The following is a 15,170-nucleotide window of genomic DNA, read 5'->3' as shown; positions in this document are numbered from 1 at the left end:
CTACAAAGACTCTACAAAAGCATCTTTTGAAGACAAGTGTTGATTGGCAGATAATGATAGTATTTTTATTAACATTTGTCTTACTGTTCCTTTTGGGTAGAAGATGCACAAAGGTTTTTTTTTCCCCCGCCCTGTATTTTTCCTTTTATAATACAAAACTTTCTTGAGATAAAAACACTGTGGGATAGTTGCTGAATAACTTTGGAAGTATTTTCATAGAGAAGTGATTGCCATCAGGTATGCTTGTTTTCTACTGATATATGAATTTTGTTTGTTTGTTTGTTTGTTTTTGAGACCGAGTCTCGCTTTGTTGCCCATCCTTAGTGCAGTAGTGTGATCTTGGCTCATTGCAACCTCCGCCTCCTGGATTCAAGCTATTCTCCTGCCTCAGCCTCCAGAGTAGCTGGGACTACAGGCACGTGCCACCATGCCCGGCTGATTTTTTGCGTTTTTAATAGAGATGGGGTTTCACCATGTTAGCCTTGGATGGTCTCGATCTCCTGACCTTGTGATCCACCCACCTTGGCCTCCCAAAATGTTGGGATTACAGGCATGAGCCACCATGCCTGGCCTGCTATATGAAATTTTAACAACTTTGATTAGAATATGGCTTATACAGAGTACTATATGTTTTAGATCTTAGCCAACTTACATTTTAATCATTGTTTTATAAAATTTAAAAGAAGTAAAAGAAAAATCAGACAAGATTGTAAACTTGTCAGTCAAATTCCTTACATCTTATTCTGAGAAGAGTGAGGAAGTATAATTGAGATTTCATAGATGTCTCATTGCACATACTGCAATAAACAGAATTATATCATGAAATCAACTATCCTCATGTGCAGTGTGATCAGGATGTTACTATGGTAACATTTCCATTTGTGAATTTTTGTGTAGTTAGAATCTGTAGTCATCACATCATGCTACCATTGGCTTTTGATTTTTCATCTAAATAAATCACTGTGCTACCTGCATGCTATTAAGTGGCACCATGTATAGTACTTAACTATCATCTATACACTCTAGGCTAGGAAATCAAAAATAGGAAAAAGAAAGAAATGGGAACATTCTGCTAAATTACATTTTAAGACTGTCCTGATGTTGCTGGTAAAATTTTAAATGTTTCTTAAGAGAAGTAAAAGCATTGCTAGTTATTCTCTGAGATGCTTTAATTTTTATAAGTATATGATGATGAAATTGGTTAGGTATGGTAACAGTAGGAGGTAAGGAGGGCTTTAATTTGTCTTCTAAATGGGTGCTAAATAACCGAGACAGAAGTAATCACCCTTCTGAGACTGAGAAGATTCATTTTAAAACAGTCCCTTTTCATCGTAACCTTATTAAATATTTGATATTTATTGTTTTTAGATATTTAAAAGTTGTCCTGCATATTTCACTTCTCATTATAAAGTCAGATTCTAATATCTTACGTTAACTTGTATTACAATAGCCTACAATGTTCCCTTGTATCAATTACTGTATTCTAGTAAAGATTCCTACTGTTTTTGTTTTGTTTTGCTTTCTAAAGCCCCCTGCTGCTGTTGATTACACCTAGATCTGCTACTGATTGGAACTGTTAAAAGGCAAAGGTAGTGTGGCTGGTTGCTGAATCATTTAATTGTAGGACTAATAAGAGATGTTCTCTCTGGGACCTAACCAAAATTGTGACTCTAGAATGTTATGTATAAAGTAGCCAAGAAATATTATTTTGCACATTAATAATGTTTGAAGATGTGAAATTTATTTACTTGGAATGTAATAGAGGAATATCAGCAGACTCGTTGGATTTCTTTCTTTCTTTCTTTCTTTTTTTTTTTTTTTGAGATGGAGTCTCGCTCTTGTCAGCCAGGCTGTAGTACAGTGGCGCCATCTTGGCTCACTGCCACCTCTGCCTCCCAGATTCAAGAGATTCCCCTCGGGAGACTCAGGAGTCTCAGTCTCCTAAGTAGCTGGGAGTACAGGTTCATGCCGCCATGCCCGGTTATTTTTTTTTTTTGTATTTTAGTAGAGACGGGGTCTCACCGTGTTGCCCAGGTTGGTTTCAAACTCCTGAGCTCAGGCAATCCACCCGCCTCAGCCTCCCAAAGTGCTAGCATTACAGATGTGAGCCACCGTGCCTGGCTGCTATTACTTTTTATAAAGATAAAACAAATGGATAACTATATATGTAACAGTGTTAATTCAGTAATTGAGAGACTTGATAACAAAATGGTAAGAAATTCAAAGTTAAAATTTTTCATTTGTAATTGAGGCCATGTTTGTAAGTCCAGTGCGCAATATAAAATTAAGTTGTGTACAATATAAGCACCCTGTAAGTAGTTTACATATAATTTTGGAATCTTAGATAGGATTTCTATGATAGTGTTTCCATGATAGCTATGGGTTTTTTATGAGGCAGCTACAGATCAAGAATAACTATCAATTTGTACCCTCACTGCTTTAAAATTTGAGATAATTCTTTCTGTGCTGGACTTTGTAAGGAATTATATAAGAGGGTATGGTTATGCTCATGTATATTTAATAATTTATGATATTGTTACTCTTTTTGTTGATTATTATATTTAATTGCTAATTTTTTTAAAGACATTTCAGTTTGCTATGTACAAACTGCATCAGTGGTTTTAAGTAATTTGTTTGAGGTTATATACATCTATACCTTGAGTTGGGAAAAAGCTAGTTCCTTTAAGGTATTTATTGAAATATTTTGATCAGGTAAATTACATAAAAGGAAGGGTGACAAGAAGGGTGCTGTCAGCAATGTGCATGATGGTTTGGAGAAAGAAAGAAACCAGTTTGAAGGTTTGTGCTAAGGACTAGGAAGCAAATAATGAGTGATGTAATTGGCATAGTGGCAATAGAAATAAAGTAGGATTCAGTGTTTGTGTCTCTTATTTTTGTTGGTGACCCATTGAATGTTGTGTCAATGAACATTGAAAAAAACACCAAAATCTTATTAGTGGCTAATGAATATTCATGTTTTCTTATATAATAAGTCATTGGACTGTAAGTACCTTGAAGGCAAATGTTACTCATTTTTGTTGTCTCAGGACTTGATGCAGTATGTTGCTTATAGTCATCATTCCACCTTTGAAATGGAAAAAGAAAAGTAAATAAGAAAGGTTCTGTATTGGTTTGCTAGGACTGTCGTAACACGGTACCACAAACTTAGTGGCTTAAACAACAGAGTTTATGCTCTCACAGTTTTGGAAGCTGTAAGTCTGAGATCAGGTGTCAGCAAAGGTTGATTGCTTTTGAGGTCTGTTTGGCTTGTAAGTGGCAGTCTTCTCCCTGTGTCTTCACATGGTCATCCCTCTGTGCAAGTCCAAATCTCCCCATTTTATAAGGGAATAAGTTGTATTGGATTATGTTCCACCTTAATGACAATTTAACTTGGTTTTTGCTGTAAAGGCCCTATCTCTAAATAAAGTCACACACTGAGGTTACTGGGGGTTAGGGTTTCAATGTACGATTTTTTCGGTGTCATAATAGTGCTTTTTTTAAAAAATAAAAAAAAATCACAGCTTTTATTTATTTATTTATTATTTTTAAAAATTGATCCATAACAGCTCTGATTGGAGTTGATGTTATTTATAGGCCAAGAGCTAATGACATATACAATTAATTGTAAAATAAATATGCTCATTCTACAGTTAATGTCAGTATAGGGACCCATAGCTATTTGTCCCTTTGTAATTAATGCCACGTGATGTAGTTTTCACCTCAGATTAGTTTACTGTATCTAAACATATTAGCAGTTTGGCAGCTATTTGTTGTACTGGTTTCCATCTAGTGGTAGAAATAGGAGATAGGAGGCTACATTTGAAAAGAAAATAATATTATATTCCTTATCTTTCCTCCTCCTTTATTTCACCATGTTTGGAATAATCTAAATTATCTTCCACATCCACCATGCAGACATGCAGAGTTCTTAAGGTGCTTTTTTTTTTTTTTTTTCAGACGGAGTCTCACTTTGTCGCCCAGGTTGTAGTGCAGTGGCGCGATCTCGGCTCACTGCAACCTCCGCCTCGCGGGTTCAAGAGATTCTCCTGTCTCAGTCTCCTGAGTAGCTGGGATAACAGGCATGTGCTACCACACCCAGCCAATTTTTGTATATTTAGTAGAGATGGGGTTTCACCATGTTGGTCAGGCTGGTCTCAAACCCCTGACCTCGTGATCTGCCTGCTTTGGCCTCCCAGAGTGCCGGGATTACAAGCGTGAGCCAGTGCGCCCGGCCGAGTTCTTAAGTTTTCAGTAAACATGCATTCTTATCTAAATATTATTGATAATCAAATTATACTTGTAATACAGTGATAGGTGGGTTTTCATGTACAATTTTGAATAGATAGTCTTTTGTCTACAACAGTCGTTCTCAAAGTGTGGCCCCCGGTTCAGCACTTCAGCATTACCTGGGGAATTTTAAGAAAAGCAGATTTTCTGGGCCAGGTGCAGTGGCCCACATCTGTAATCCGAACACTTTGGGAGGCTGAGGTAGGCGGATCAGGAGGTCAAGAGATTGAGACCATCTTGGCCAACATGGTGAAACCCTGTCTTTACTAAAAAAATACAAAAATTAGCTGGGCATGGTGGTGCGTGCCTATAGTCTTAGCTACTCGGGAGGCTGAGGCAGGCGAATCGCTTGCACCTGGGAGGTGGAGGTTGCAGTGAGCCGAGATCGCGCCACTGCACTCCAGCCTGGAGACAGAGCAAGACTCTGTCTCAAAAAAAAAGAAAAAAAAAACAAACAACTTTTCAGGCCCCATTTAAGCTCTATTGAATCAGAAATTCTGAGGGTAGACTTCAGGAATCTGTTATTGTAAGAACTCCAGGTGATTCTGTTGTATACCAACATTTGATAACCACGGGACTGAATATAGGCATAATACCTAATTTTATTGCTTTAAATAATTATAGAAATATAGACTTATATATTTTTTCTTTCTTTTCTGTTTTGTTTTGTTTTGTTTTTTGAGATGGGGTCTTGCTTTGTCACCCAGGCTGGAAAGCAGTGGCACAAGCATGACTCACTGCAGCCTCAACCTCCTGGGCTCAATCAGTCCTCCCACCTTTGTCTCCCAAGTAGCTGGGACTGCAGGTGCACACCACCACACCTGGCTAATTTTTATTTTTTTATTTTTGTAGAGACAGGATCTCACCATGTTACCCAGGCTGGTTTCGAACTCCTGACCTCAAGCAATCCTCCCACCTTGGCCTCCCACGGTGCTGGGATTACAGGTGTGAGCCACGACTCTCAGCCTTTTCCTTTCTAATATTGTTTTGGTTATAATACTTGATCCTAAGACTTTGATTAGGAACGCCACCCCAAATTATAATGTTTACATTGAATTTATGGGAAATCATTAATCCCTGTTGTGTCTCTCTAGAAATGTTTTATGCATGTAGAGGCACATACAGCCAAGTCTTTCTGTATCAGTACTTCTCTCTCTCTATTCTTTCTTTTCTTCTCCTCTCCCCTCCCCTCCCTTCCATTCCTTTCCCTTCCGCTATATAGTAACTGTGCCATATATATCTACAGTAATTTATTTCACAAGTCCCCAGTTGATATAAATTAGGTTAGGTTCAGTGTTTTGCTGTGTTAAAAAATTCTATGTGTAATATTCTAGTACACATATATAATTTCACATATGAGCAAGTATGTTCAAGAAAAACGTTCCTAATAATACCAGTTTAAGTTCTAAATGTATATGTGTATGAACCTTGATATAAAAATCCTCAACAAAATAGTAACAAACCAAATGCAGCTGTATGTTAATAGGATTATACACCATCACCAAGTGGGATTTGTTCCTGGAATGCAAGGATGATTCATCTTATGGAAATTGATAAAAGTAATGTACCACAATAACAGAATGAAGGGAAAAAAGCACATGATCATCTCAATAGATGCAGAAAAAGCACTTGACAAAATTTAACAATATTTCTTAATAAAAACTCTCAATAAACTAAGAATAGATGGAAACTACTTCAGCCTAATAAAATTTATATTGTAGTTTCTCATTTGTGGTTTTGCTCTCTACAATTTAAGTTACCCTTGTTTAACTGCAATATGCAAATATTATATATGATAAGATATTTTGGCTGGGTGTGGTACTTTTAATCCCAGTGCTTTTGGGGGCCAAGGTGGGAGCATCACTTGAGGCTACAAGTTTGAGACCAGCCTGGACAACATAGCCAGACCCTGGCTCTATAAAACATTAAAACAATTTTTTTTGAGAGAGAGAATGAGAAAGATACCACATTCACATATCTTATTCTAATATGTTTTTATAATTTTTGTATTTTGTTTTATGTTACTTGAGACAAAGTCTTGCTCTGTTGCCCAGGCTGGAGTGCAGTGGTGCAATCTCAGCTCACTGCAACCTCTGCCTCCCAGGCTCAAGTGATCCTCCCTGCCTGAGCTTCCCAAGTAGCTGAGACTACAAGTGTGTGCCACTATGCCAGGCTAATTTAAAAAAAATTCTTATAGAGATGGGGTTTCACCTTGTTGCCCAGATTTCTCTTGAACTCCTGGGCTCAAGCAGTCTGGCCACTTTGGCCTCCCAAAGTGCTGGGATTACAGGCATGAGCTACCACCCTTGGTCATAATTGATGTATTTTATTGTTAATTTTTGTTCGTAATCTCTGACCTTGCCTAATTTATAAATTAAACTTTATAATAGGTGTGTACATATAGGAAAAACCATAGTGTGTGTAGGGTTTGGTTTTATCCATGATTTCAGTCATTCACTGTGGTCCTGGAATGTGAGAGGACTACTATATGTGAAAGACTTGGAGTGAACAACATACTCAATGGTGAAAGACTGAAAACTTTTTCTTTAAGACCAGGAACAATGGAAGGATGTCAGTTTTTGCTATTTCTGTTCAACATAGTAATGGATGTTCTAACCATAGCAGTTAGACAAGAAAAAGAAAGCCATCCAAATTAAAAAGGAAGTGTAAAATTATCTCTGTTCACAGATGATATGTAGTCTTACATCTAAAAAACCCTAAAGATTCCCCCAAAATGTGTTAAACCTAGTGAATGAATTCAGCAAAGTAGCAGAATACAATGCCAACACACAAAAAGCAATTGCATTTTCATACACTAATAATAAGTAGTCTGAAAAGGACCTTACAAAAGGAATTTCATTTACAATAGCATCAAAAAAAATACTTAGGAATTAACCAGGGAAGTGAAAGCCTTATAAAATGAAAACCATAAAAAATAATTATTGAAATAAACCATATAAATTTAATTATTGAAATAAATTAAAGACATAAATAAGTGGAAACACATTGCATGTTCATGGATTAGAAGACTTACTATTGTTATGATGTCAGTACTACCCAAAGCAATCTACAGATTTGGTGCATCCCTGTCAAAATCCCAATGACTTTTTTTTTTTTTTTTGGAAGAAATAGAAAAGCATATCCTTAAATTCATATGGAAACTGAAGGGACCTCAAATAGTCAATACAATACAGTCTTGAAACAGAAGAACAAAGCTTGAAGACTCACATTTTCTGATTTTAAAACTTACTACAAAGCTACAGTAATCAAAACAGTGTTGTACTAGCATAAGGAAGACATATAGACCAATGAAACAGAAGAGAGAGCCCAGAAATAAAACCTCATGTATATGGTCAACTGATTTTTTTCTTTTTTCTTTTCTTACTTTTTTTTTTTTTTTTTTTTTTTTTTTGAGATGGAGCCTCGCTCTGTCGCCAGGCTGGTGTGCAGTGGCATGATCTCGGCTCACTGCAGCCTCTGCCTCCTGGGTTCAAGCGATTCTCCTGCCTCAGCTTCCCCAGCAGTTGGGATTACAGGCGCCCACCATCATGCCCGGCTAATTTTTGTATTTTTAGTAGAGACGGGGTTTCACCATGTTGGCCAGGATGGTCTCGATCTCTTGACCTCGTGATCTGCCCGCCTCGGCCTCCCAAGGTGCTGGGATTACAGGTGTGAGCCACTGTGCCCAGCCAGTCAAATGATTTTTAACAAGAGTACCAGGACTATTCAGTGGAGAAAAGATAGTCTTTTCAACAAATGCTGCTGGGAAAACGGGATAGCCACATGTAAAAAATGAAGATGAACCCGAAACTAACACAGTATACAAAAATTAACTCAAAATGGACCAAAGACATAAATGTAAGACCCAAAACTATAAAAGTCTTAGAAGAAAATAAGGAAAAAACTTTATGACAGTGATTTATTCGGCAGTTATTTATTGGGTATGACATCAAAGGCACAACAACATAGAGGACTACATGAAAATTTTTAAACTTTGTTAATCAAAAGACACTGTCAATAAATAGGGTGAAAAGACAACCACAGAATGGAGAAAGTATTTGCAAATTATATATCTGAAAAGGGTTATATAATGCATATATGGAGAATTCCTACAACTCAACAACAAAACAAACAGCTTGGTTTGAAAATGGGTGACTTGGAAAAACATTTCTCCAAAGAAAATATACAAATGGCAATTGGTACACCACAAGATGCTCAGCATCACTGATATTTAGGAAAATCCAAATCAAAACTATAATGAAATACCACCTTACACCCATTAGGATGGCTACTATCAACATCAAACAATAATATGTTTTGGTGAGGACGTGGAAAAAATTGGAACCCTTGTGCACTGTTGGTGGGAAGGTAAAATGGTACAGTCACAGTGGGAAGCAGTATGGTGGCTCCTTATAAATATTGAAAATAGAATTTCCATATGATGTAGTGATGCCACTTCTGGGTGTATCCCCAAAATGGTTGAAAACAGGGTCTTAAAGAGACAATTTATACACCCATGTTCATACCAGCATTATTCACAATAGCTGAAATATGGAATTGTAAACTAAAAATGAAACTTTAAGCTTCTTAATTGTCTGAATGAACCCTTCGTCTCAGCCAAGGGCATTCCACAGTTCAGGACATGATGGGGAGGGGGTGATCAGGCATTCCCCATTATACTCTGTCTTTGGAATTCAGGCACAACTGACCAGCATTAACATTAAAACAGAGATCTTACGACTTTTTGTAGCGATAAGACACCAAATTCCAGCCTGACTAAAGAAAGCATCACATGACAGATAGCAGGCCCTGGAAGAAATTGTAGTATTTTGCCCCAAAATATATTCCTTTGACATATTTAAAAATGGCCCTGCAAAACTGTCTCTTATAGGCAAAATCTACATTCTGTAGAGAATGCCTTTCTCTTTCTAGGTCTTTTCTCTGATGCTGGAGAGAATTATCTGAGTCTTTCATCATTTTAAGTCTCATAAGAAACATTTACAGTCTATTCTTTCTGAAGCCTGCTACCTGGAGGCTTCATCTGCATAATAAGAACCATGGTCTCTACAACCCCTTATCTTAACCCAGACACTCCCTTACATGGAATTTCAGGTGTTTATTTTTTATTTATTTGTATTTTTTATTTTTTGAGCACTCAGGCTGGATTGCAGTGGTGCGATCTTGGCTTATTGCAGCCTCTGCCTCTGAGGTTCACACGATTCTTGTGCCTCATCAGCCTCCTGAGTAGCTGGAATTACAGGCATGCACCATCATGCCTGGCTAATTTTTTGTATTTTTAGTAGAGATGGGATTTCACCATGTTGGCCAGGCTGGTCTTGAACTTATGATCTCGAGTGTTCCACCTGCCTTGGCCTTCCAGAGTACTGGGATTCTAAGTGTGATCCACCATGATTGGCCTCACTCCAGCTTTTTGTATTTTCAGTAGAGATAGGATTTTGCATTGTTGGCCAGGCTGATCTTCAACTCCTGGCCTCAAGTGATCCGCCTGCCTTAGCCTCCCAAGATACTGGGATTATAGGCATGAGCCACCATGCCCGACTGGGTTTCTAGTCTTTAGGTAAACTCTGTTGACAAGTTGCCAATTGGAAAATCTTTGAATCCACCTGTTAGCAGTGGTGAATCTTTATGGGTCTGCAACAACTTGATTCTTGCCTCCTTGGAGGAAAGAATTTTGCTGAAGGGCAGTAGTTGGTTTAAGGCAGAGGGAGAGACTGAGGCAAGTTTTAGAACAGGAGTGAGAATTTGTTAAAAAGTTTTAAAGCAGGAGTGAAAGGAAGCAGTACACTTGGAAGGGCCAAGCAGGTGACTTGCAAGATCCAAGTGCCCTGTTCATCCCTTGACTTGGGATTTTATACATTGCTATGGTTCTTGGGTTTGCTGAAGTTGTGCACGTGTTCACTTGAGGAGTTTTTCCCTTACCTGTCGAGCGTTCCCATTGGAAGGTCGTATAAGAGGCCATTTTGCCTCTTAGTGGGCCTGTTTGAGATCTTCCTGAGAAGTGGATAACACCAGCACCGAGTGTTTTCTATCTGTTAGGAGACTATCTTTTCCTGGCGCTGGCTGTGACCACTTATCATTTTAGAGAGACAGTTTAACAACCACCTGACTATCACCTCATGGTCGCCTGACAGTCCTGGGGGCAACAGGGGGTGGGGGTGTGCGTGTTTGGGTGCTCTCCTGCCCTGTCCATATCTGCCTAACTACCTACTCTGACATACCTATGAGCTGGAAGCCTCCACTTTGAGTTTTTGAGTTGTTCTGCCCTTCCTGACTGAATCATTACACATCTTACATGTATTGATTGATGTGTTATGTCTTCCTAAAATGTATAAAACTGAGCTGTAGCCTGACCACCTTGGACACATGTCGTCAGGACCTCCTGAGGCTGTCACAGGCACGTCCTTAGCCTTGGCAAAATAAACTTCTAAGTTGAACGAGACTTGTCTCAGATACTTTTGGGTTTACAGAAGCAAACCAAGTGTTTATCAATAGCTGGATGGATAGACAAAATGTGGTATATACATATAATGGAATATTATTCAGGCTTATAAAGGAAAGAAACCAGATACTCCACAACATATGTGAACCTTGATAACATTATGTTCAGTGAAATAAGCCAGTCACAAAAAGACAAATTCTATATTATTCCACTTATATGTGATTATTAGAGTAGTCAAGATCATAGAGACAGAAAGTAGAATGGTGATTGCCAGGAGTGGGGGGAGGAGGAATGGGAAGTATATTTAATGCATACAGAGCATAAACCAAAAATAAAATCCTGAGCCCCCCAACTGACAGAACAGACCCCCTCTTGGCCAAGAAAAACTGGCCTCAGGGGAACCAGAAGAACTGAATTCTCCATCATGATTGGAAGGGAGGCTGGACGTGCCTTGTTACCTCCTCCCTTATGGAGTTTAGGTTAAAGTAAAGATCATAAGACTGTCAAAACAGACTCTTTATGGCAATAAGATACAAATTATAAGCAAGACCTGAGGCCATGCTAAGCAGTGGTTAAGCCACATCCTACAAACAGTAACATCTCTCATTAGGTTTTTATTAACCCAGTGTAATGTGGCTTACTTTCCAAGCTGACTCTGGTATAGCATCAAATGACAGATAGTGGGCCCTGAGGGAAATAAAAATATTTTACCTAAAAATTTATTTCATTGACATATTTTGAAAAGGCTGCCATAAGGCCATCAGATTGAAATGGCACTGCAAAGCCATCTTTTTTAAGGGGAAACTCCATTACTATAGTCAGGCCTTCCATTTCTAGGCCTTTCCCAAATCTAGGAGAGATTAACTAACAGTCTGACACCTTTAAGGTCTGTAGACATTTACCATATATTTTCTTAGAAGGCTGCTAACTCTGAGACCTCATCTGTATAACAAAACTTTGGCCATAATCTGCCTTATCTTAACTCAAACATTTCTTTCTATGACTTCAAGTCTTCAGACAGCTTAACTCTCTCAACCAGCTGCCACCTAAAGAATCCCTAAAACCATTCTGTAACTTAAAGCTCCCCTCCCTCCCTTCAAGATGCTCTTTTTGGGGTAAATCAGTGTATACCTTCCAAGTATTGATTTATGTCTTTGCCTGTAACTCCTATCTCCCTAACATGCATAAAACCAAACCATAACCCAGCCACTGCAGGCGCACTTTCTCAGGACCTCTTGAGACTGTTCCCCAGGTCATGGTCCCTTATTTTGGCTCTCCCTTATAAAGGGCTCAGAATAAACCCTTTACAATTTTTACAGAGTTTTAGTTTTTTTGTTAACAAGAGATTTGGTTTTACATGATGAGAAGTTATGGAGATAGATGATGAAAATGGTGGAGCAACATTATGAACGTATTTGGTAACATTAAATTGTACACTTAAATGGATAAGTTGGTAAATATGTGTATTTTACCACAATAAAAAAATTTTTAAATGTACTTCTAATTTTGATGGCTATTTTCAAATCACCTTCTTTGTAGATTATACTAACATACATCCTCTTTAACAGATAAAAGTTGTTGTAAAAGATGTGCTTTTGTGACTATGCAGCAGCTTTATATAACCATTATATTTTTGAAAGAAACAGATCTGTATTAAGCTTAAAAAACCCACAAAACTTTGACTAGTATCTTTCAACAGTTTGTAAAGACTACTTCAGTGTTTCTTATATTCGTTAAAATATGTTTGAGAAACTTCTTGATGCATGCATTGAAAATAGGATTGAAGATTGTCTCCTAATCTGCAGTAAATCTTCATTTAGTGGTTCATTAAAAGGTAATTTTTACATATCTGAAAATACATCTTTGACATAGTTTTAGTTTACTGTTAGTGGGTACTTGTACAATCTTTAAATGTGGGGATTATTGAGATCCTACTTACGTAGTTTAAAAATTTATGATTTTTTTTTGGTAATTGCCATAATGTTTTTAATTAAAATTCCTGTTAGGTTTTTCATTTATGCAGTATCATTGGTTTGTTTTGTGTGTTAATCATTTTAAAGTTTAAAATGAAGTAATAGTGAGAGATAGAGCACTGGATTTTTTATGTGTGTGTTTTTAAAAACATTCTCCCTCCTCCCCATCCCGCAACTTTTTTTTATTTTATTTTATACTCTGTTAACTTAAAACTACTAAACAGATTTTTATTTTAATCTTTGGAACAAAAAATGTTCTCTTGGGCTGATACCAGTACTTTTTATGCCAAGTTACAGACCGGAGTCTATTTTTATAGGCCAAGATAGAAACCTCTGAAAACCAGAGTTTATAATGGAAACATTGACAGGCCCTTAACTATCGCAGCACACATGGCACTGCTGAAATCATAAGGTACAAGGCACAAGATTTCCCATGCAAGGGAACATTGAATTTTTCAGCAATTGTATTGTCAAATGTCTTTCAACTAGGATTTAATAAGCATCAAGCTGTGCCAGGGCCATAAAAGCACATTATGTGGGCCTGATTCCTGCCCTCTGAATGTTTGTACCAACTACACTAACATGGAGAAACACTTGAATAAACCTGTTGGGAGATAGCTTTGTGAATGGATTTAGTTGGAATGAAATATATGAAGTTTCTTCTCTCTGTGTTTAATTTCTGATACAACCCTGAAAATCGTATCTGTTTTTGCATGTAGGTCACTATACACATGTTCTAAGCATTATTACAAAGGAGGTAAGCTAGTCATCTACATCTTCATTTTAATAATTTCACTGAAGAAAGTTTAAACTATATTGTTACACAATCAAGGAAAATTGATATTGAGTAGTTAGGTGAATTAAAAACTTACCATTTTACTTTCTCTTTGAGGGCTTCCATTTGGATAAAAAATAGAAATAGTCTTCTTCAAAAAACACATTTGATTACTCAGCTTTACTTGATTAAAGAAAAGTCATTAAAACAACCACCCTGGGTCTTTACACTTCTATGCTTTTACTTATATTTTAATTTAAGTGGGACTACTCCCCCTACCATTAATTAATGATTGCCATTAGTTAACACTGAATGAATGACCCTGTAATACATTAGTTCCTTTAAAGGGAAACAGTAACTTAGATCATATCTGATTCCTACATGGGAAATAGAATGATTTGAGATACATAGTTAATTTGAATGTTCATGAGAATTGGATTCTTACACTTGTAACACCGACATCATCTACTCTCTTTCTGCCTTTTCTTTATCTTGTTAAATGCTGGAGAGAAGTGGAGGTGTTATGCTAGATATGCTATCTCAGAAGCATTGTGAAGTGTTAGAGAAAACCAGTATCTTGTGGGAAGATAATGAAGTGATAGTCTGTTACTACAGATTTTGCAAGTACTGCCAAAAGGAACAGGTAAAAAGAAGATGTTAATTTGAATCTGATTCAGATTTTCTTTTCTAATTTAAAATTTCCTTATCCATTGACTTATATACATATACATTCAATAAGATTTAGGTAGCACACATGCTTGCCAACCTGAGAAGTATCTTTTTATGTATCTGATTGGTTTACCATTAATGAAGATAATATGGACATATTTTGCATAGTTTAAGATTTTTGGATCTGTCATTAAATTTCTCCCCATAGTATGTTAGAAACAATGCTTCTGCATCCTGAAAGATGGAAAATTCCTAAATGAAAGTGATGTTATTCTGTATAACTGTACTAATTCTGGAACAGGGGCCCTCATTTCCATAAAAATGGGTGATTCTTTTGCTTTCTTGATCTATTTCTTTGGGGAGGAAAGACAATACTCTAACTCTTCCATCTGCTTCTCCTTGTCATTGCTATAGAAAACATCACGACAGGTTTCAGAAAATACAGTGCTGGACTTGGTTATATAGGTTAGAGAGAGAGAATCACATACTTCACAAGGGTTATTCTTTGAAGGTTCAATATGAAATGAATCTATCTATCTATCTATCTATCTGAATGATAGGTGTGTCTGTGTATGTATGTGGAGAATGAAGGAGAAAGAGAAACAGACACTGACTTCCTAGGGCTACGGATTTGTCTGATCAGTAAATCATTTCAGAAGCAAAAGTAGAATAACATAATACTAAAAGAAACCCAAATCCAGAACGATTGTTAGAGCTAACTAAAGGTTGTCTTTTGTAATTCACATTCGTAGCTGAACAGGCTGGTAAGTGCTAAAGACCTTTTGACAATTCACAAAATCTATTATATACTGACTCTATTAATAAATTTATCCAATCCAATCTTATGACCAGCAGTTTCTGACTAAAACAGGTTTTAGGAAGGCAGTGTTTTTAATCAGAGACTTAGAGTTTGCTTTGTCTTTTTACTTCATAAAGCAGTTTGTTTGAGTTGGTGCCAAGATTTTCTTTCCCCAGCTCATTCACATGTTCATCTTCTCCTTCCATC

At 37.1% G+C, this 15,170-nt stretch overlaps 1 protein-coding gene across 65 annotated transcripts in view, besides 1 other annotated feature; it reads left to right on the top strand.

Moving 5' to 3' along the window:
- Positions 1-15,170, top strand: part of TBC1D5 (TBC1 domain family member 5) — a 585,470-nt gene that overhangs the window by 194,027 nt on the left and 376,273 nt on the right. The gene's annotated exons all lie outside the window — the stretch shown is intronic.
- Positions 977-1,840: an enhancer, noted in NCBI's record as "OCT4-NANOG hESC enhancer chr3:17588257-17589120 (GRCh37/hg19 assembly coordinates)". NCBI's record gives its function as "activates a minimal SCP1, AML or CMV promoter by ChIP-STARR-seq in naive H9 embryonic stem cells {active_cell/tissue: H9 hESC(naive)}" and the evidence as "EXISTENCE:reporter gene assay evidence [ECO:0000049][PMID:30033119]".

This window comes from Homo sapiens, chromosome 3 (genome assembly GCF_000001405.40).
Source record: "Homo sapiens chromosome 3, GRCh38.p14 Primary Assembly".
Classification (NCBI taxonomy): domain Eukaryota; kingdom Metazoa; phylum Chordata; class Mammalia; order Primates; family Hominidae; genus Homo; species Homo sapiens.
Note: the sequence above shows the minus strand (reverse complement) of the source record. Positions and strands in the feature narration are given on the sequence as shown.